The sequence below is a fragment of the Homo sapiens genome, chromosome 13 (assembly GCF_000001405.40).
Source record: "Homo sapiens chromosome 13, GRCh38.p14 Primary Assembly".
In the NCBI taxonomy this organism is placed as follows: Eukaryota; Metazoa; Chordata; class Mammalia; order Primates; family Hominidae; genus Homo; species Homo sapiens.
The window spans coordinates 75,356,925-75,380,798 of record NC_000013.11 but is presented as its reverse complement, the minus strand read 5'-3'; the positions used below and the strand labels follow the sequence as shown (position 1 = coordinate 75,380,798).

The following is a 23,874-nucleotide window of genomic DNA, read 5'->3' as shown; positions in this document are numbered from 1 at the left end:
ACTCTTCCAGTGGCATAACACCAGAAATTATGGGGACTGCATTAGGCTAGCTTTGTCAGGACTCCCATAGGAGGTGGTCTTGTGGAAACCATGATAAAGAATAAGAAGGTGTGAATATTCTCCCTTTTTTCACTTCTTCACATAACGTAGGTAGAGTTAACGTGTGGGAACATAAAATGCCGAGAAGGTGAAATGAAGGAAATAGGGATTGATTGTTTGTAAATTCAGTGTTTCATGCCTTGAAGATTAAAAAAAAAAAAATCTTATCTAGTTCATTACCGTTCTAGAGACAGACAGATTTAAAAAGTGTCTGCCTTTTTTTTTTGGAGATGGAGTTTTGCTCTTAGGCCCAGACTTGAATGCAATGGCGTGATCGCGGCCCACTGCAACCTCCACCTCCTGGGTTCAAGTGAGTCTCTTGCCTTAGCCTCCCGAGTAGCTGGGATTACAGGCACCAGCCACCATGTCCGGCTAATTTTTTGTGTTTTTAGTAGAGATGGGGTTTCACCATATTGGTCAGGCTGTTCTTGAACCCCTGACCTCAGGTGATCCACCCGCCTCGGCCTCCCAAAGTTCTGGGATTACAGGCATGTCTGCCTCTTAATAGAAGGGTCAGATGAGGCTAGGCGCGGTGGCTCACGCCTGTAATCCCAGCACTTTGGGAAGCCGAGGCGGGTGGATCACTTGAGGCCAGGAGTTCGAGACCTACCTGGCCAACACAGTGAAACCCCGTCTCTACTAAAAATACAAAGGTTAACTGGGACACTTCGGAGGTTGAAGCATGAGAATCGCTTGAATCTGGGTAGCAGAGATTGCGGTGAGCCAAGACTGCACCACTGCACTCCAGCCTGGGCAACAGAGCAAGACTCTTTCTCAAAAAAAAAAAAAAAAAAAAAAAAAAAAAAAAAAAAGAGTCAGATGAACAAAACTGATATACTTCAACACTAGCTTTCTTTTAGCTATCTTAATTTTATCAATAATGGTAAATGTGTTGTTTAGTTGATTTTTATCAACTAAAACTGGGAGTTTTAGCTGACCCAGGAGAGTGAAAGGGCTCTCTTTGAGACTGATAATCATTTTCTGACATGAGGCTATTTAAGGACTCAAGAACTTCTAATGTCAATTAACCATGAAATATTTTAATAGTGCTTAGTCTTTGCTCAATAGGTTGGTCTGTGCTATGTTTGTAATAGATGTAAGTCAAATCGACATTTTGGTTTATGAGATTCCATGTTTCAGAAGAGGCTATTGGATTCTTAAAGTGTTTATTCAGTCATCAAATATTTATTAAGTATTGAACTCATGTTAGGCATTGTGACAGACATGGGGTATTTAGTGGTGAACAAAATATATATTTTCCTGCTGTCATATTCTTTGAAATCTAGTGAGGTTGGCAGACTTTAAAAAGACAGTAACACAAATGAATATACTGTCATACATTTTGATAATATTTGTCATTGCACATATTGATTTCATTGAACACTAGAGATGTACTTTTTTAGACATATCTTGAAAAGCTGTGTGTGTGTGTGTGTGCATGTGTGTATGTATAAAAATTCACGTTTGTGTAAATCAAGTAATAATTTAGCTTTGTGATTTTGAGCTAGTCATTTCGCTTCTCTGGATTTTAATTTTCTTGTTTATCATGTAGCAATTTATAGAAGATCTTTGTAGAAGTTTCTGAGGTTAAATTCAGTCATGATGTTATGTGATTGAGATGTTTATATACTGTTTTTTTAATGTTGCTCAACACCTAAATTAGTTCATTTTGTACCTGAAAATAGAAGTAAGACTTGTTAAATACTAAATTCACCCAATTTGCATCAATAGTTATAAAACTGCCATACTGCAAATGTTGAACGTTTTGCAGAAGCTTAAATATGAAGCTTTGAAAGGTATTGTAGAAATTCTAGATTCTAAGTTCTATTCAAAACCTGTTTATTTTCTTCAGCTGGATATGTATTTGATGTGAATCTTCTAAACTTGAAACAAACACTTGATGGCCATCAGTTTTCCAGTTTATTAGTTTTTAATAGATAATTTTTTAGAGCACATTTAGAAGTATAGAAAAATTGAGAAGATAGACCAATTTATTTTCACAGTGGAAGTAATAGGCCCTATCTTGGATAGTTGTGAGAATAAGAATTATTGAATGTAAAAGTTTTAGCATAGGTCCTCATTCCTACACAGCTATCATTGTGATCAACTTTTTCCCTTCATTATGCTAACTCCTACACTAAAAGAGAGCTAGGTATCTGTTTATCTTTTCAGTTAACAAAAGAGAAAATTCTATTGTCATGCCCAGATTTCCATCTGTATCACTGATGACTACCGAGCACAAATCTGTTACACCATTTAATGTTTTCTCTCATTGTTTAGATAATTAGTTCAGTGATCTTTGTTTCCTTTTTCTAACCATGGAATTTTATGAAAATCTAGAGATCAAGAGGAAGCAACATAAGAATGAGTAGGTGATTTTTGTATTTTTTTCAAAAGCTGATCATTTTAAAACAAAACATTCCAAAAGTTTCTAGCTATTAATATAGAGTTAATATGCATTTGAAGAATTTTCAATAACTTAAACCAACTTTTAGTAAAATTGAACTTTAAAATATATTGACGTGCGTTTATTACATAAGCTGGTATGTGTGGAAAACAAAGGCAAAGATTGAGCAAAAGATATGGAGTAAAATCATGCTGATGTATTTTACACTAACAAAAAGCCACATATAGCCATAGTACTAATGTACTACTCTTTAACATATTACAGTAATTGTAATTTATGGCTTTGAAACTTTTAAGGTATGAAACCCCCAAATCATGTTTATATTTGAAAGAGAAACTTAAGGCAATAAATAATTTGTAGCAATTAGAAGTATATTTTGCATGCCATTAATATATAATTGTATGCTACTTTTATATATTCATTGTAGCAAAGATTCACCAGTGAACTCTATCAGGCCCGGTTTATGATAGATATGTAGATAGATAGGTAGATAGAAAGATCCTGGTTTAATATAGATAGATAAATGGATAGATAGATAGATGCACACACACATACTGATAAAGACCAATCAGAAAATATATATATATATAATATATATTTAAAAGACCAATCAGAATATTTATCTATATTATATATATAATATATATTTTTGGGTTGGTCTTTATCAGTGAAGTCATACTTGAATAGTTAGTAGAGTAACCGAATGTCTTGTTTTTGCTCATTTGTGTTTGAGGTATAGTTGTAGTGTCCATGGGATGGTGCAGTGGTATTTGCATCACATAATTGTTGCATGTGGGCCCTTTTGTTCCCATTGACTTTCAGGGCCATTTTGAAACCTGCATTAAAGAAAATTTCTGAGACATTTTCTTCTAGAAACAAGCATGGTGTTAGCAGATTCAAAGCATGGTGTTAGCAGAGAATCAGAAAATAATTTGTATATCAGACCTCTTCGTTCTATGGTTTTGGAGAACAAAGTCTCACAAGTAGCAGATGGCCCTAGCTGTCATTCACATAGAGCTCCAGCTTTCATAAAAAGGTATGTTTCCCGGATACAATCTGGGGCCTATTTGCCATTTAACGGCCTCACTCTGTTTGAAGTTTAAAGTTCTCCACTGTGCTGCGCCAACAGTTTTTGATATTTATTTAGCAGCTGGCTAGGAACTAGAGAATCTTGTGTTGCACTGAAGACTTGATGTTCACACTTTGAATCAGACAGAAAAATTTATATTATGGCTAATATGTACTGTTTATGAAGACAGAGATGTATATACATGCTCCAAATGATTAAAATGAAAAGTTGTAAACAACACAGTTAACCCTCAGTGGCTCGTAAATTTTTGTGACAGGATAAATGCTGGTTACACACGTGGTGCTATTCTCTGTGTTTGGCCTATTGGAATGCATTGATCTATATTTGTAAGCTGAAATGAAATTAAGAAATTTAATTTATATTATAGTTATTGATTAATTACATTGCTCTGTGACTGTACCAGAATAATACATACAGAAACATATTACTGGTTGAAGTAAGTTTTAGATGGTTACTTGTGGGTTATTGCCCTATTACTGTTTCTATAGAAATGTAAAAGTTTACTTAAAAGTCACCAGAAGGTCAGGTGCAGTGGCATATGCCTGTAATCCCAGAACTTTGGGAGGCTGAGGCCGGCAGATCACCTGAGGTCAGGAGTTCGAGACCAGCCTGGCCAACAAGGCAAAACCCCATCTCGTCTCTACTAAAAATACAAAAATTAGCCAGACATGGTGGCACATGCCTGTAATTCCAGCTACTTAGAAGGCTGAGGCAGGAGAATTGCTTGAGCCCGGGAGGCGGAGGTTGCAGTGAGCCAAGATCGCACCATTGCACTCCAGCCTGGGTGACACAGTGAGATTCCATCTCAAAAAAAAAAAAAAAAAAAATGTCACCAGAAGAACATGATTGTATTTGGAAAAGATATTTATAAATTTCAGTATGTCTGTAGATGCAGCTTAATGATATTACCATCAGATGTGCTTTGTTATCTTTGGGTGGAAAGGAATAGTCCTGTGACAGTCTTTGAAGGTTGATCATAAGATTTCTGGTTTTTTTGTTTGTTTTTTTTCAATTTCAGAAAGTTTTGAAACACCTAGTTCAGCCTTACTTTTCTTAAGGACATATCTCTGCAGCTTTGACTTGAGTTCTTTCTTTTTAGAAGCAATACGTAACTTAAATATTTTGACTTGCATTTATCCCCAGCTTTTCTTCGTTGAAGAGCTCTGATGTATTGCCTTGTCTCGAATGCATAATTGATCATTATGAAAAGAATACAGGTTGTTCCTGTTGTCTGTTCTTCCTTCTTCTCTAGTAACGGAATTTTGAACTAGGTAAATGGCTATCTAGAGTCAAGACTACATTTCCTAGCTTCTCTTGTTGCTAGGAGTGCACCTGCTTCTGGCCACTGGGGTGTAAGTAGATTTGTTTTGTGGCAGCTTGCTTAAGAAACCTTCCTTAAATAAGAGAGAATCCATTATGTGTGTGTGTGGGGGGGGTGGGGCAGTAGGGGAATGTCCTCTATTTCTTTTTCTTATTATTAATTCCTTCTTTGTATCCTGCTCCCTGGAATACAGTTGCAACTATTTTAAACCATGGAGTTGAGGTCCCCAAGACAGAGAAACAAGATAGAAGGCACCTGCACCTTTGATATTTAATGACAAGCGATGAAGTACCATGATGAAAACAGCCCCAAACCCCTAACTACACTTTCATGTTTCATGTGACAGGGAAATAAACTTCTGTTTTGTGTAATCAATTGCTATTTTGGGTTTCAGTCATTGCAGATGAACCCAATCCCAACGATTGGGTTCAACAGGTTATATATAACATTAACTGATTCTTTAACTACTGTGTTAATATATATTCTCCCAGAGTTGTGTACTGGTTAGAACTCTTAGACACAAGGGTGAAAACTATCACCTATGTGAAAGGACCCTGGGAGTGGCCCCCAGAATTGGAGGAGACGAAGAGCTCATTTACCACACCTCTAAGGATGTTCACAGCCAGGGACTGGACCCCACTAGGACTCTGTCTCTCCACATTTTGGATCTAATTTCATTTTCCTCTTGGTTTTATTTTGTTACTGCAGACTGCTCTCTGCAGTGAAGGAGTATGGTACCAGACTAATTTCCTTAATACTTGTGGCTTCAGATGGGACACAGCTGTGTCTTGTCTTCTGTTGTTGGAAAAATATTAGGGAGCAACTCACATTACCTGGTTTGGGTCACATGCCAGTTGCACCTCTTTACCTGTCACTGGACCAGCTTGGATTACTTGCAGTTTATTGTGGCTACTTTGGAGGCAGGTGGATGGGAAGATTGGACCTGGGGGAGGGTGCAAGGATTGGCAGCATCCACTGAAACCATTTGTTCTAAATGAAGTGGGTGCTGTTTTGACAAAACAGTGTCTATTATAGCTGATACGTCATTTATAGATGATTTACAATTGGGCTCATCTTATTCTTTCTTGAAAGCAGTCCATGTGTGAAAAAAAAATGAGGGCTGCGAGTTTGCTTTGAATTTGGTTTCTGACTTTGAAGTTGTGAAATTTGGCAAGACTGCAGCTCAGATAAATCCTTTGTTTGGGAGTTTTGATGAAAATTATTTCAGGCCCCATTATCACATTATACAGGCTAACTGTTAGGAACCACTGAACAGATTTCCTTATTTTCTTTGATCTTCAGTCTCATTGATTATAATGGAAGCACTGCTGTAATCATTAATCTTTTTAATGTAGACCTAAGGAGGTGTTTTGGATGTTAAAGAATTAAGGCTATTATGCCCTGAAAAATACTTTAGTGTCACAAATTCTACTTGAAATTCTAAGGTGAGCGCTTCTCTAAGGAGTTAAAATTTGACATTTAAGGAGTTAAAATTTTATGTATGTTTGACATACATAAAATTTGAGAAGTAAAAATTCTTTTGAAAGGGCTTTGGGATACTGAGTTTCCAGAATGTACTTGAAATATTAACAAGTGATGGGCGGTAAATTAATTGAAAGGTCATGGTGTCATCGGATTGAGTTCTGTGGAGGGAGAGAGGACATCTCCGTCCACAGGGCATGCATTCAGAGTGGGCAGGGCCTGGCGTGGGCTGGGCAAAAGCTAGTCATGACACAGCTCCTGCTTCCAGGTGGCTTTCAAGCAATATGGTGATGTTTCAGAGACTTCAAAAATAGAGGTGTATTGCTTGTGGAAGTATTATATTTATTAATCTGATTTCAAGTCAGATATGTGTGAGGTGCGTAGATGAAGCATATTCTTTCTCCAGGATGCTGAAAGTCTCAAGCTTTTTATTCTTTTCTGCAATCAAAGATGAAAAGAAAGTTTTGTTGTTTGGGTCACGTAAACCATCATACACTTTCTCTTGGTATCGTTTTGCCAGCCCATGCAAGAGAAGGGGAGGGAAGGGAGCGTTTGATATTTAATGAACAAAGAAGCATACCTTTCAACAGCCAGTGTCAGCTCTGAAAATGCCTTTTCTGATCAGAACCTTTCGTAGATGATGTTCACTAGAGTCCCAGACAGGAAGAAGGAACGAGGGCCAGAAAGGCAGTCTTGCTGCAAGATGTCATAGGATTAATTTTTCATTCCCCAGGAGCAGCCACAGCAGGCACGCTCCATGAGGACCCGCATTGTTTGGAGGAGTTGACCTCTACTGTGAGGGTTGGAGGTTGTGCATTTAGAGCTCCAATATGAATGGTTACTATGTGGGGAGACTAGTGCCTTTCCTTCACCCACAAAAAGTGCAAGTCCGGGTCAGAGATTAGCATCCGGTTGCTTGCTATTGCCTTTCCTTCTAGCCTAATTTTGGAGAGAGGTGAATGTGTGTTTTCATTTTTATCCCCGGATGGCCTGCGGTTAGGATTTTTCTTCTTTGAAGAAGGGAGGTATACGCCCCTTTAGCAGTTAATGATAATGTTTATAAGGACCTGAAGTCTTTGAATAAAAGCTCAAGAATGTCATATTATTTTCATCTGCAAGGTGAATAATCTGTTATGATGGTATAAATATCTGAAGTAATGTGGAAGGACAGGACAAAAATAGGTTTCTGAGAAATGTGTGGCGTTTTTTGTTTCCTGATAATATTACAGCTTTATCTACTGATCTCAGCTAGAGTTTGTCATGTCCAGATCCCTCTGGGCTGAGCCGTCGCTCCTTTGCCTCCTTTTCCAAGGCCCACTTCATTGCACAATTAAGCCTTGCTTAAAACCTTCTCTTCTCATGAATTCAGACATTTCATAAGTTAAAACTACCTATTAAATATTCAGTTTTAGGATTTTGTTTAGATTACTTTATACTTCCTATTTCATGATGAAGGACCAAGACGTATGTTTCCTATTATGTTTATTGTGTCCTGCTTTAAACTCTCTAGCAAATTAAATGTCATCAAGTCCTGATTTTGCTGTATTCAAATTTTTTCAGTCTAACTTTATTTTATTAACTTATTAATTTTATTGCCAAACTTGTCTAATCAGCTAAAATTCTAGTTAATTTACTTTTTATGGGCCTAAGATGAGAGCAGTAGTAATAATATTTTATAAACAGTGGGAGCATTTTTTTCTCAGTATTGTGAGAACCTTTAAAAAAATTTTTTTTTGGTTTAAACTAGTCTATGTGGGAAAGCTCCCTCTAGTGTTTCTTGGAGCAAGTACAAGTGGTGTTGAACTATGTTTTTCAAAAAATGAGCCTTAGGGCCAGGCTTGGAGGCTCACGCCTATAATCCCAGCACTTTGGGAGGCTGAGGCAGGCAGATCACTTGAGGTCAGGAGTTTGAGACCAGCCTGGCCAACATGATGAAACTCTGTTTCTACTAAAAATACAAAAATTAGCCGGGCATCCTGGTGGGCGCCTGTAATTCCAGCTACTCAGGAGGCTGAGGCAGGAGAATCACTTGAACCTGTTAGGTGGAGGCCTGCAGTGAGCTGAGATCGTGCCACTGCACTTGAGCCTGGGTGACAGAGAGAGACTTGGTCTCAAAAAAAAAAAAGTGAGCCTTAAATAATAGGACTAATTTTATAAATAAAGAGCATCTGGTTGAATAAATAGATAGTAGGCTGATCTCACATTGAAAATGCTTTGCAGTTGGGTAGAGGGATGTGCTGTATTTGAAAACATGGATCTCGAAAATAAAGAACGTTCTTTATTTTTCCATATAGAAATGTTCCATATAGAAAATGGAACATTAACTTTCTTGATTACATGTTTATGAGATGCTTTACTTTCTTGTTTTGATAACTTTGTTTCTAATTTCGCCATTTTAGAAATCATGCCCATAGAAATATCCATATCTAAGGAAAGAAACATAAGGTTATTTTTCATAAGTGACACAAATATTTTAAAATCAAAGTATGTTATTCTTATTTTGAGAAGGTACACAATAGAGTATTTTTGCATAACTACATGCAAACTTTTTTCAAACTTTATTCCTTATATAAATATTACTTTTATAGGAGAGCTCCCAGTTTCTCCTAATGGCAGAGAAAACAGTTTTACCTACATGGGTTCATTTTACAGGGGCAAACCGCTCTTCTAATTAGTGGCTGATTCCTGAGTTTTACCTAAAATACTTGATGCCATGTAGGGGTCACATTTAGCAATCCAGAGAACACAGGAAGCTTGAGGATCCTAAAGATGTCTTCACCTCACAACTTAGCCCACAAACAGCCCAGAATTAAATTTTATGTTGATGCTTAATATTCTGTTAGATCTTCTTCCCCATCCTCATCTTAGCTAATGAGCAAGCTTGCTATTTTACAGAGAAAATTAAAGCAGAGGAGAAATGCTATAAACTCCCATCACCCATCTGCCTGCACCTGTGCCTTTCTATTCTGCCTTTCCCTTTCAAACTGCCAGTTCAGTTCAACCTCTTCCTTGGGCCTAGATTCTGTCCCCTCTTGCCTACTTAAGGAGATTGCTCCAGCAATTCTGCCCTGTTTCTTGAAATCATTGATTTCCCCTTCACCATTATGTATTCTCTATTGGAAGCTGTCATTTCTTCCAAGAGAGAACCCTGTCTTGACTCACTTGTTTCTCCTACTGCTGCCCTTATAGGTTGTCTGTTCCTATTGCTTTGAATTTCGTTCTTGAAATTTCTTTTGAACCTACTCCATTAAGGCTTTTGTCCTTAGCTCCCACCATTTTTTCTTGTCAAAGTCACCTGTGATCTCGTGTTGATTACTCTTTTCTTTTGGAAACCTTTCTTACTTGACTTCAGGATGCCATTCTCTCCTGGTTTTACACCTGGCTCTTGCTGTATTTTCTTTCATTCATATTTCTCCCTCTTTCAAACTGTAAGCACTGTGGCTTCAGGGCTAGATCCTGGAGATAACCCCCTCTGTGTTTCTGCCTAGCTGTCTATGTCTCTGTCTCTGTCTTTCTCTCTCTGTCTTCTATACTCTTGATGAACTCATCTAATCTCATGGCTTTAAATACCATCTAGATGCTAATAACTTCCAATTTTCTGTCTCAGCCCTGATCTGTCCCTGGAGCTCCAGACTCATATAATCAACTGCCTACTGACATCTCCTCTTGAATGTCTATAAGCTTCTCAAAATTAATGTGTCCAAAACGCGGCTCCTGATCTCTTAAGCCATCACCCACCTGCAGTCTGTCCTATTGTCGCTCCATTTTTTCTAATTCCTGTGGCCCTAAACCGTGATGTCATCCTTGCCTGCTCTCCTTCTCCTGGACCTCACATTGGATTCATCAACATATCATCATGTCTGTACCTTTACAATTATATCCAGAAGCTGGCAGCTGCCTAACCACCTCCCTTGCTGTCGCTTCTGTGTGAGCTACCAATGGCTCACCCTGGATGAGTGCAGTAGACACCTGCCCATTACCCTTGTCCATATTCCACACAGTAGCCAAAGGGTTCTTTTGAAAGCAACTTAGATCATGTCATTTCCACACTGAGCACTGCACTGTACCAGGGGCTTTCTATCTCACCAAGAGTAGAAGCCAAAATCCTTTCAAGCCCCTGCAGGATTTAGATCTCCCACGTCTCCCACAACTGCCTCCCCCATAATCGCGTGCTCACTCACTCCCATCCAGCCATGCTGGTTCCTCACAGTTCCCTGAACATACCAGGAAAATTTGTGCTTCAGGGCCTTAGTACTTGATGTTCTGTCTGCCCAGAACATTCCTCCCTCTGATATTTATATTGCTCATGACCTTGCTGACTTCAGATGTCTACTCATATATCATCTTATAGAGAGTCCTTTCCCTAAAATTGCAATGGTTTTCCTCAAAATTTTATGTCTTTCCAAATTTCTGCCTTCCCTGCATTATTTTTCTCCTTGGAAATGTTCACTAAAATCCCTTATATTTTACTTCTCTTGTTAATTTTTTCTTCCCTATCTCGCCACCTCAATTTAAATTTCATGAAGGCAGGCAATTTGATTTAGCCATAGCTTCTCACTTATTTCATCTTCTTATGTAGCACACATTGGAATTATATTTTGGTTTAAATGTTATTAAATGCTTTCATTGTCGCAGCACTGTGTCAGGCATATTTTCACATCTAATTCATTTTTCTTAGGTTGCCTTTCAGATAAACATTGTGATTTCCATTTTGCATATGAAAAACCTGAGACCTAGGGGGTATCATATCTTTTCTGTAGATAAACATAGATACTGGACCCAGGCTTTAAGTAGAAACCCTTTAACAGCATGATGTGTACCTTTCTAATATGTGAAGCTATGGACTGCTTCCTTTTAAAAATAATAATTTTGATTGTGTGTGTGTGTGTGTGTGTGTGTGTGAGACAGGGTCTCACTCTGTCACCCAGGCTATATAATGCAGTGGCATGATGTGATCACTGTTCACTGCAGCCTCGACCTCCCAGGCTCAAGTGATCCTCCCACCTCAACTTCCTAACTAGCTGGGGCTACAGGCATGTGCCACAACTCCTTCCTGGTTTAAATTTTTTGTAGAGACGGAGTCTCCCTATGTTTCCCAGGCTGGTCTTGAACTCCTGGTTTCAAGCAGTTCTCCTGCCTTGGCCTCCACAAAGTACTGGGATTATAGGTGTGAGCCAACACACCCCACCTGACTTTGGTTTTGAAAGGGAATTGGAAAGTGACGGTTCTTGCCTGCTCCTTTGTCATATGACTTCTTCCCAAGCATGCCATCTTCTGTCTTGTTACACCAGCACTAAACTCAGCCACTTTTGGGGAGATTTTATTCTCTCTCTCTTTTTTTCTCTCTTTTTTTTTTGAGACAGAGTCTCACTCTGTTGCTCAGGCTGGAGTGCAGTGGTGCAATCTCTGCTCACTGCAACCTCTGCCTCCCAGGCTCAAGCGGTTCTCCTGCCTCAGCCTCAGGAGTAGCTGGGATTACAGGTGCACACCACCATGCCTGGCTAATTTTTGTGTTTTTAATAGAGATGGGGTTTTGCTGTATTGGCCAGGCTGGTCCTGAATTCCTGACCTCAAGTGATCCACCTACCTCGCCTCAGCCTCCCAAAGTGCTGGGATTACAGGTGTGACCCACTACGCCCGGCCTCATTCTCTTTATCAAATCATGATTCCCCAGATTTTTTCCTGTGAGTTACTCTTTTATATTTTCTATCTGATCACTTTTACACATTTGTAACAGTCATAGGATAAGAAGGCACAAGTCGTACCTTTTACAGAAGGAATTCAACTGGAGAAGCAGTGAGACAGCATGAGAGGAGAGAACTTAGTAGAATGGTTTAAGAAATGTTTCTCTGACAATTTGGCCTAACTTAGAGGCCATCAAAAAGGCAGCAGTTAGAAAAGAGCTGAACCATAAATGGGTTTGGAGCAAAGTTGCCAAGAATATCTAAGAACTAAAGCCTGGTCTGAGAGGAAACTGTCTTGGCTCATAGCCCGAGGATCAAAAACAAAGCTACTTGTATGACTCTGGTTTAAGTCACAGAGATACTCTTGCTTTCTTTGGCCCCAATAGTGTAGTCTCTTGTAATCTCGTTCTTTTCCTCTTCAGTGGTTTGACTTTTGATGTTAACAGTTTATTGCCACATCTGTAAAATAAGACAGTGGGGACCGGTGATTCCTTAAGGAGACCCTTAGTTTTACAGTTTTACAGTTCTATCATTTTCAAATCAGTGTATTACTCTATTCTATTTTGAATCTAGACTCAGTTTTAGACTTCTATTTTACTTTGGAAAATTTGCTTTAAAGAATAATTTAGATTTTTAACTAAATACAAAGAAACTCTGAAGTATTTTAGGATAAAAGTTAAAATGAGATTGTCAAACAGCTTCACCCTAAAAACCATAGCACGAACTCGGTGTGCTTCTAAGGCTACTGGAGCTGGAAAAATGGCTAGGAATGATTAGTGTTTCCTTGAATACAAATGAACTGATACTTGGCATCTATATATCTTCCCAGCATTTTCCATTATATGAAGATGAAGTTTTAAAAAGCTCAATTAAAAATTATAACATTAAATGACCAAATCAATCGTTTCTCAAAATGCTGCATTTTACTTCATACCATTACGCTTTCAACATCATCCCCGTGTTGCCTGGATAGTCTGTAAACTAATCTTAATGGTTTCTTAAACAAGCAGAATTAATTATAAAGGAAATCTACCCTTCCCCTAAAGCCACGCATTACTTCCAAACCAAATATATTTCTTTTCCATACTGTCTCTGTTTGAGTGAGACTAGTTTAAATTGCTATTCTTTCTCATTAGGCAGTTTTTCAGTTTACTTGTTCCCTAATGTTTTTCCTCAACTTTTTTTTTTTTTACACTTCTCTAAATCTTGCTCTGCCTACTATAGTTATTATAAAAGATTAATAATATCAAGCAGTGAAGCTTATATCAATTGTAAAATAATTGATACAGTTCTTTTTTGTTTAAATATGTTTTAGGAAGCTTATTCTCACGCTGATATCCGTCATATCTATTTTTAAACATTTATTGAAGTTCATCTGTTATCAGTGAACCGTGTGAATAAAAAAGACATTGTACTGTAGATTAATCTTCTCTTATATCCATAATTAGTAAGCATGGGACACTTGTGATTATTTAAACAGTATAATAAAGACTACAGTCATCAAAATTAAAATGTTTCTTTTTAAAGAAAGCTAAAGCTTTGCTCTTTAGTCCCAAACAATCTGTGTATTTCCTGATTGCAGAGTCAGGAAATACTTAACTTTTGAAGCAATAATGGTTACTCCTGGGAAGTTTTATAATTGGCTGCATAGTGATAACGTGGACTTTAATAAATACAATGAAAATACCGCCAGCTTATTTAGAAAGAGAGAACTTAGAGCTAATACTGAGGACTACACCAGTTTGGCAAAATCATTGCTCTTCGTGACCACCTCCAGTTTCCAGCTGGCTTCCTGATCAAAGGTATCTTTCCTTAGTGCTTTTTCACTCTCCAGATTTTCTCCTGTGTTTGTTCAGGTCTTTGAACATCAGTGTTTGGTAGTTGTAGAATTTGTTTTATTTTGAAATCAGGTAAAATGTAGTTTATAAAATGTTAATGGGTTTTTTGAAGTATGTTAAGTAACTATGATAACCAATTAATGAGAAAGAACAGCATGACATCAAGGAATCTAGAAGCAATATTTTTTTTTTTTTGTCTAGAGTGAGGAATTGCTTTAATGTCTGAGTCTTGGTACTTGATTCTAAATTGTTTTAGTGAGGTCACTGAAGGTGTAACAACAAAATACTAGCTAAAGGTGGCACTGTGCTTTTTCTAAATATAATGAGACCCTTATTTCTGTTGAATTGATTCCTGTGTGTTAATGGAAATGGATCATTTTAACAACTTGCACACTACTTCAGGTTTAATCATAAAGGTGATTTTTCCCTCTCTTGATTGTACATTATCCTGCCTTTATATTGGCATTAATCCAAAAATTAACTCACAGAATGTGGATCTCGATGAGACCTTATCAACCATCTATCAAGTTCCCCCATTCACTTTGCTCTTGAGGAAGTTATCTGGCAGAGGTGCAACAACTATTCCCAGAGGTCTTGAGCAAAATATTGGGGATAGAATATAAACCTGTCAGTCCCTAGTTTGGTTGAGCCTCTTTCAGTATCATTGTTTTGTGTTAATAGATTAAATGCTGCCACTGAGTAGAAATCTTGCCTTAAATTGGTGTGTGTAAATCGTCATTAGGCTCTGTGGGTTGTAGGCAGATTCTGAGCAGCGGAATTATTTGTAGCTACAATATGTAGCTAGGGTGTGTAGCTTGAGGTGCTCTATAACATTTAGAGTCATTCTGGAAACATACCGTCACTTCCTAGTTTGGGTGAATGGTGAGCAGAGTGAGAAGCCACTGCTTTCTATTTTTGGGTGTGACAGATCTCTTGAGTCACCAACGGGAATTTACTAAACTGTCTCAGTCCTGAAGAATTTATATCAGAGTTCTAGGTAGTTTTTCACTCCTATATATATGACTCTGTTTGCTGTCAGCATTCATTCAAGTTCTTCTGAGCCCAGACCATTTTCCTAGTGGCCACAGGGAGGAATTCTAGTAAGCAACAAAATCCCCCCAACTCAGTCTTTCACTTAAGAGCTTATGGTACGATGGTACAGGAGAAAGAGATATTGAAAAGATACAACACATATAAGAAGGATTCAAATTCGTTCAACAATATTTGTAAATGTATGTATAAATATATGTCAGTTAACACTATGCTACAGGAGAATCCTATGATTCCAAAATATTGTATGTATGTACAAGTACTTGATAGAAATTTTATTTCTCTTGCATTGTTTCTGATGAATCCCTTAAGTAAATGCTTCAATACAAGATTTTCATGATTCTCTGATCACTCATTTCCCCGCTATGGATATTTTACTGTGCTTATATGAGCAGTGTGCCCCTTCTGGTGTGGCCTAAGTGAGTAGTCAGGGGCTGTATAATGCTAGTGTTTATACTCTGTGTTTCACATGAGGATAAGCAAAAAAAAAAAAAACAGAGCTGTTGTTAGATTAGTTTTGCAGAGTCTCTGCAACCCATGTCATTCAAGTTGTGGTTAGTCATAACCTGAGAAAAGGTAGTAAAGGTAACTAGAACCAGTTTTGTGTTGTAATATTAGCATCTTAAATTATTAAAGATTAAATTATGTACTCAGTTTAGAATTCAAGATGATAAACTTTGCTTATATAAATTGGATCACTTACAGAATTACATTTAGGTGTTGAGTTTTTACCTGTAGTCACAGGGAAGGATCCTGGGAGACTACAGAAATTCAGCCACAAATCAGTTTTTCATGTAAAAACTCTTGATATGGCGGTAGAGAAATTCAAAAGACTTGACACAATTAAGGTTGAATTGACTTTATGTGCAATCTCAATTGTAGAATGGAACTCTGAGGTTGTATGTAAATCATTTAAATATTTGTAACAAGATAAAATATCTGCAGTAAAATCAGTGCTACAGGCTATATTTCTGATTCCGTACTCTGTAGAGACACTTTTGGAGGCATACTTGGGTTAAAAATTAGATGAAAAGTATTTAGTGGAAATCAGACAAAAAGATTTTGGGTTAAAAATCAGATTAAAAATATTTAGTAATCAGATGAAAAGTAGAGAGAAAGAAGAGATCATTCTCCTAGGGCTTTGCCCACTAGAATCATTTTATTTTTTGCAGGTTTGCACGGTTGAGTGTCAGCTAGCTCACTCTCCATAGCTTTGGCCCTTGCCAGGTAAGGTAAATCACATACTAAGGCAGTAAGAAAATGATGAAGGGTTGAGGTTGCTAGTCACATGTTAGCACAGATACCTGACTTTGTCCCTGAGACATGGCAAGTGTTCAGGGTGAGTCACTGAAGCTATAGCATGTGGATTTTATCCTTTCATAGGAAATACTTGGTCTAGCAAGCGGAAATTCTTGTTATTTGTAAACTATGAATGTTCTAGCAGTATATCCCAAATAATTACAACAGCCCCTCCTTATCCACAGTTTCAGTCACCTGTGGTCATCTGTGGTCCGAAAATATTAAATGGATGTGGCAATAAACTGTTAACATCTCTGAACTCAGAGACCTTGTGGGAGGAATGTGCCTTGTATGTTGGAGAAATAGCAAGGAGGCCATTGTGGCTGGAGCTGAGTAGAAGGGAATTTAGTAGGAGATAAACTCTAGGAACCAATTGCCAATCAGGAAATCTTTGAATCCACCTACGATCTGGAACTGCACCGCCCCCACCATGCACACTCCCCACCCTGCCCCTTTGAGTTCTCCCACCTTTGTGGATCGAACCAATGTACATCTTACATATACTGATTGATGTCTCATGTCTCCCTAACATGTAGAAAACCAAGCTGTAGCCCAACCACCTTGGGCACATGTTCTCAGAACCTCCTGAGGCTGTGTCATGGTCATGCCCTTAACCTTGGCAAAATAAACTTTTAAACTGATTGAGACCTGTCTCAGATACTTTTTGGTTTATAGAATGTACCACATTTTATTTATCTCTTCACTTGCTGATGGACGTTTGGATTGTTCTCAGTTTTAGAGTTGTGAACCAGAAAATCTGAGACAGGTCTCAGTTAATTTAGAAAGTGTATTTTGCCAAGGTTGAGGATGCGCACCTGTGACACAGCCCCAGGAAGTCCTGATGACATGTCCCCAGGGTGGTTAGGGCACAGCTTGGTTTTATACACTTCAGGCAGACATGAGACATCAGTCAATATATGTAAGAAGTACCTTGGATCCGTCTGGAAAGGCGGGACAATTTGAAGCAAAGGCAGGAAGACTCAAAGCAGGGAGGGAGTTTTTAGGTCATAAACAGGTGCTATGGTTACATTCTTTTGAGTTTCTGATTAACCTTTCCAAAGGAGGCAATCAGATATGCATCTATCTCAGTGAGCAGAGGGGTGACTTTGAATAGATAGGAGGTAGGTTTGCCCTAAGCAATTTTCAGCTTGAGTTTTCCTTAGTGATTTTGGGGGCCTAAGATATTTTCCTTTCACAGGGTATTGGGACAAAAGTGCCTTTGAATATTTGTTTGTAGGCTCTTGTGTGGACATGTTTTCCAGTCTTTTAATTTTTAGGAGTGGAATGCCTAGGTAATGAAGTAGGTCTATATTTAACTCCTAAGAAACTGCCAAACCATCCTCTAGAGTGGTGTGTCATTTTATATGTCTGTGTACAATGTATGAGAGTTCAGTTGCTCCCATGTCCTTGCTGGCAGTCTTCTTTTTATCTTAGCCATTCTAAGAGGTATATAGTGGTATCTTATTGTGGTTTTAATTTGCATTTTCTCTGATAGTTAATGCTGATGAGGGATGTCTAGGTTTTAATCTCCTCATCAAAAAAGGTTATTTTGTCCTCATGGTTGGAACTTTGGTTCCTTTCAGCTGAGGCACAAATAACTTTTAAACACAATCAAAAGACATATTATGACATAATAGGTTGGCAGTGGCTTATATAGTTTCATGGTTTTGTTTCTGGGAGACTCATTTAAAGTGGGAAAATATAATCCTGCTATTCAATTTCAATTTTCATTACATTTTAATTTTATCTTGAAGTCATTTATGTCAAATAATGTAAGTGTATGCTCTGTCTCGTGTAGTGTCTATTACTTTGTATATTATTTAGGATGAAAATACATTCCATGTGGTAATAATTGGGCTAGGTAAATGTAAATTGTCTCAAAACTTTCAACTAGAATCAGGGTTTTAATTTTTTCCCCCAGGTTCCTGATGTTATTAGCAGCATAAGGCAATTATCTAAAGCGGCCATGAAAGAGGATGCCAAACCCAGCAAAGATAATGAGGACGCCTTTTACAACTCTCAGAAGTTCGAAGTCCTGTACTGTGGAAAGGTGACCGTGACCCACAAGAAGGCCCCCTCAAGCCTCATCGATGACTGCATGGAGAAGTTCAGCCTGCACGAACAGCAGCGCCTGAAGATCCAAGGGGAGCAGCGCGGTCCGGACCCAGGAGAGGACCTGGCTGACTTGGAGGTGGTGGTGCCCGGGTCCCCCGGAGACTGCCTGCCGGAGGAGGCTGACGGCACCGACACCCACCTTGGCTTACCTGCCGGGGCCAGCCAGCCTGCCCTGACCAGCTCTCGGGTCTGCTTCCCTGAGCGGATTTTGGAAGATTCTGGCTTTGATGAGCAGCAGGAGTTTCGGTCTCGGTGCAGCAGTGTCACCGGCGTGCAACGGAGAGTTCACGAGGGCAGCCAGAAATCCCAGCCGCGACGGAGACACGCGAGCGCACCCAGTCACGTCCAGCCCTCGGACTCGGAGAAGAACAGGACCATGCTCTTCCAGGTACACCTGATCGGACGCTGTCTGCCCTTGCCCCAAAAGGTGCCAGATGGAAGTAGCTGGGCATCCAGTTCCTCCCAGCTCCACCTCTATATAACGAATAATCTAACTTTTATTTGTTTTCCCCTTCAAAGCAGATAAGGCAGGTGGAGGAAGAGTGCAGAGGAAAGTAGGGAAGGGGGGAGAGGCAGACGTGGAGTGTGGAGTATAAGAATTAAGGGAGTAGGGAAGGAAGAGGAGGAGGAAGCAATTCGTAGAACGTCCTGGACACCTGGTAGAGAGAATAAGAATCTATAACCAGCATTTGCCTTGGGGTGATTCTCAAATAAATGCTTAAAAAAAAATTGTAGGCCCGGCGCGGGGGCTCACGCCTGTAATTCCGGCACCTTGGGAGGCCAAGGTACGCGGATTACTTGAGGTCAGGAGTTCCAGATCAGCCTGGCCAACATGGCAAAACCCCGTCTCTATTAAAAAACAAAAATTAGCCGGATGTGGTGGGGGCGTGCCTGTAATCCCAGCTAATCAGGTGCTGAGGCGGGAGAATTGCTTGAACTGGGGAGTCGGAGGTTGTAGTGAGCTGAGATTGACCCCCTGCACTCGAGCCTGGGCGACAGAGCGAGACTCCATCTCAACAACAACAAAAAAATTGTAGAAAGTAAATCTTTAAAGATATGAATCTGAGAGAGTGCGATTTGGCATGGAGAAACAAGGGACTTTTTTTCTAGAGAAGAAAAAACTCCAGAGACTTGTATTTGTATTTTGAGTCGAGGACACACCAATTTATGCTGTCACACCAAAAGACGTTAAAGAAACATCATTGGCCTAAAAATGTACTGAATTGGATACTAAAATAATTTGATGCAAGCTGTAGTATTGGTATAAAAGATCATTCTTAATTCTAAACATTTTTGAATGTTGTACAGGGTATAGAAGGTGTCAGGTTCCGCTTAAAATAACTTAATTCCTAACAATACTCTGTAGAGAGTCTTTAATTCTCAGCTTGTGAGATTTGAGTTTCCTTGGGGGGAAAGAAAAGAGTGACTGTCTTTTTTAAACCTATTTTAAAGATTTCCTAAGAAGGAGATTCCGGAGTATTTTGGTAAATAGTACCGGTGTGTAATATCAGAAGTTTGCTTTATCGGAAGTTCATGAGGCTTTTTTTCACAAATGATAATATTTTATTATAGAAAAAGCATCCCAAATGCAGGATTTCATAAACACTCGTAGGTGAACAAGTACAGCTTCAAAAGTAAATTCAGAGTAAAGAGGCAACACTTACAAACATTTTGCCTTAAGGAGAAAATGTGATGTTCTCCTGCAGAAGTAATCCCACACAGAACACAAATGTGGCTCCATATCATGAAGGCATCAGATTTGCTTTCTGAGCTCAGTATGCCCATTTCAACAATTGAAAATGATGGCAAGAAGTAGCATTGAATATATTACTACTTGATTAAAAAAAAACACACCCCTGATTAAAAAAAAAAAATTAAGAGACAGGGTCTCGCTCTGTCATCCAGGCTGGAGTGCAGCAGTGTGATCACAGCTCACTACAGCCTTGACCCCTGGAAGTTCATATTTTTTCTTTTTTGTTGGTGGTGGTTTTGTTTTTAATGAACTCAAGGTATGTCATTAAAGCCTCTCTAGTCTTTGGTGATGTATTAACTGAATTTCCCCTTTTCTTGGGGTTATCAGATTTGTTCTTTTTTTAGTTAGTCACAGTCCTTGTTGTTAATTTTTCTGAATGGGTTATTTTCAAAGATTTTAATTCATTAGCCCAATTACAGATACATCCTTTTGCTGACCATTTAGAAGAAAGTATGATTATAACTTATTTTTTAAAATTACTATTTTTAGAAATCATGAAGTGAGGAAAGTTTGCATATTTTTTAAAAAGACAGTTGTTTCTAATCTGAAAAATATTTGTATCTTATAATAATTGAAGACTAACTTAATTTTCATACGTTTTTTGACAGAGGAAAGAAACATTTTTGAGGCAGCTGATATTTGGGGTTAAAAATATTGGTTGGATTAGATGTTTAAGCACATATGAAATACATATATCTGGGATATTGCATTTGAATCTATATTATTAGTTTAATATTTGGTTATAAAGTAAGATGTTAGATCCTTATGAATTGAAATTAATTGGAATGCTTTTATTTTTAAGGTTGGGCGATTTGAGATTAACCTTATCAGTCCAGACACTAAATCAGTTGTGCTAGAAAAGAATTTTAAAGATATCTCCTCTTGTTCTCAGGTATGTATCAAAGTATATCATAGTATGTGAAGAGACCAATCTTGTTTCAGAATTAACAATAAAATAAGTGGGCTTGACCCCCTTCAAATTTTAATTTTTTTTGAAATTTAAATTTTTATTCTTAAAGGGAATTTGTCTTAAACTAAGGGCTCCTGGGTTTTTGTCTATGGCAGCACCAAAATCCTGCCCAGGTCCCTTGGTATCTATCCTAACAGTTTGTCCTCATTTTAGCCAACTCTTTCTCATTGTAATACCATCAAATCCCTTCCAGTGATGGAATTTTTGTGGTGGTGAGTTCTTTTGAAAATACCTTCACAGTTAGTTCCTTGGAATGTTGGCCTGTGGGACTTGTGGGTATAACTGAGTCATGCTTGCTCTTTATACCGTAGTAGGTAGTAAAAGGAGAACGAGGGTTTCAGCTTATTTTAATGTAAATACTAAACTTTGAAAATATTTTTGTATTTTTGTTCTTTTATTTGTTTTTAATTCACAAACTGTGTATTTAAATGTTTTTTAAAATAATACAGCCAATTATGTACAAGATTATATTAGACATTGAAGAGATTACAAGATTAAAAAGAACTTTTGAAGATGTCAGATAGAAGGAGTATCTAAATGTAAATGTAGGGAGGTTAAAAAATGCACCTCTAAGGAGGTTCCTGGAATTGAGAATTCACTTCTTTTCTGCCTGGTGACTTAACTTACCTTCAAGGAGCTGGATCTTGCCAAGGTCCATATATTTTAATGTTGAAAAGCCACGCCGGCCTATCTTGTTTTCTTTAGTTACTATCTTTTTAAAGATAATTTGAAGTTAGCATTGCTATAGGTATGATATTCAGACATTCTTCCCTTTGAAGTTAACAAGACAGTTTTTGTACTTTTATTTATTTATTTATTTATTTTTGGAGACAGGGTCTTCCTCTGTCATCCAGGCTGGATTGCAGTGGCGTGATCATGGCTCATTACAGCCTTGACCTTTCCGGCTCAAGCAATCCTCCCACCTTAGCCTCTCCAGTAGCTGGGACCACAGGCATGTGCCACCATGCCTGGGTACTTGTTATTTTTTTTATTTTCTTGAATTTTTTGTAGAGACGAGGTCTCATTATGTTGCCCAGGCTAGTCTTGAACTCCTGGCCTCAAGATCTTCCTGCTTTGGCCTCCCAAAGTGCTGGGATTAACAAGCATGAGCCACCATGCTGGCCAGTTTTTGTACACCTTAATTGTTTGCCTCAGTCTCAGCTAATACAGTTCACTTCTGATATTTTAATATACTTTATATTATATGGAGACATAAAATTACATTGTGTAGATAAAAATTTTCTACTCTGATAACTTTGTCAGCAGTTGAAATAAGGAGAAATATATTGTAAATTTCTACATTCCTACTTAAAGGACACAGAAATTTTAACTGAAAAGTATTTATTAAGCATTCTTGTAATTACCAATTTACTGGTTGTCCCTGGGAGATCGTAAGTGCTGTGAGGGCAGGTGTCTAAGGCTGTGGTGTCATTCTGTAGCACATCAGAGTCAGATGTACTAAGACAGAGCTTAACCCTGAGGTGTTCAATACATGTTGAATGAATGAGCACTTTACACATGGTGGGCCTTATGCCAAATACTGAAGAGAAAGTGATGTCTGAACCGAAGCAGTTCCTATCCCAGAGCACCAGGGGGCATCCTCAAAAGCTGTGCCTCCCACCCCACACTCCTCAAGCCTCCTGGTGAGAAAACTCGCAATGCTCATTGGGCAGCTAAAAGAAAAAAAAATAGAAAGAAAAAAGAACTAGCCAAACCAAAAATTGGAAGTTCAGATACAATTTCTTGTTTCTCCTTTGTATTTTTTTAAAGTCAAGATTTGCATTCTGATATTCTGGTTCAGAAAAAGAAATAAACAGAAGCAGGAGGGAGATTTGTGGAAAGCCCTGCCTTTCATTGAGGTAATTGTCAGGTTAGCCATCTGCTCCTCACTGAGTGGCTGGCTCTGCTCTTATTACATCCTTCCATGGAACTGAACGCATATAATGTGGCTGTTTTCAGGAACAGCCTGATTTTTAACAGTGCACATCCCAAATGCTTCTTTCTTCAAAATCTGTCGGACTGTTTGCCTGGCAAGCATGGGGACTACGGGAATGGTTTTCTTTCCTGGAAACATTGCCATTGCCTCAGGACTCTCCGAGCTAATGAGGTCCTGTGAATTTTTCCCATTTAGTGCTAAGCAAGTAAAGGGTATTCTTAAGTCACTAACAAGTTGTACCAAATTGAGGCCAGTGTGGCTGGAGTTGGGGAGGTGAGAAGGGAATGTTATAGGAGAGAAAGCCAGAGGAAAGCAGATGAGGATGGAAAGATGAAAATCGAGGTTGTGTATCTAAAGGTCATATGGGGGGCTGGTAGTCACCGTGCAAATTTAATCTGTGTGGATGTCATATCCATACGGATTGCTTACTTTCACCTCAAGAATTGCAGCCTCTCTCCTCTGTACTGACTTTTTCTTTTTACAGGAATTGATTTCCTTTTTCTATTTCCATTGGATAGAGCTTATTATAACAAAATAGGGGCAACCATTTATCAAACATCCTAGGAATTATATTTCTTAGTTCTAAATCCAAACATTCCTGACAGTAGATGCTATTACTACTGTTTTATAATGAGAAATGGATGCTCAGAGATAGTTATGAGCAACCCAGCGCAATATCACATATCTCACAATTAGTTGAATGAAGATTTCAGCACAAATCTGACTTCAAAGCATGTTTTTCCTTTTCACTTGGATTTAGGTGATTTGGGGACAACTTTAAATTTTTTGCCTACCTGGCTTATCTAAGTACTGTGCTTGCTATTAAGGTG

General features: G+C 38.4%; 1 protein-coding gene across 10 annotated transcripts in view, besides 2 other annotated features; it reads left to right on the top strand.

Annotated features, from left to right (window-relative positions):
• TBC1D4 (TBC1 domain family member 4) overlaps window positions 1-23,874 on the top strand; it is a 198,667-nt gene that overhangs the window by 101,371 nt on the left and 73,422 nt on the right. For all 10 annotated transcript variants that reach the window (XM_047430811.1, XM_047430810.1, XM_011535331.3 and 7 more), the window contains exons 2-3: window positions 18,192-18,773; window positions 20,941-21,030. In XM_047430811.1, the coding sequence (XP_047286767.1) occupies window positions 18,192-18,773; window positions 20,941-21,030 (672 nt within the window). The remainder of the gene's footprint in view (window positions 1-18,191; window positions 18,774-20,940; window positions 21,031-23,874) is intronic.
• Window positions 14,822-15,091: an enhancer, noted in NCBI's record as "active region_7823". NCBI's record gives its function as "activates an Ori minimal core promoter by ATAC-STARR-seq in GM12878 lymphoblastoid cells {active_cell/tissue: GM12878}" and the evidence as "EXISTENCE:reporter gene assay evidence [ECO:0000049][PMID:35858748]".
• Window positions 18,529-19,049: an enhancer, noted in NCBI's record as "H3K27ac-H3K4me1 hESC enhancer chr13:75935886-75936406 (GRCh37/hg19 assembly coordinates)". NCBI's record gives its function as "activates a minimal SCP1, AML or CMV promoter by ChIP-STARR-seq in primed H9 embryonic stem cells {active_cell/tissue: H9 hESC(primed)}" and the evidence as "EXISTENCE:reporter gene assay evidence [ECO:0000049][PMID:30033119]".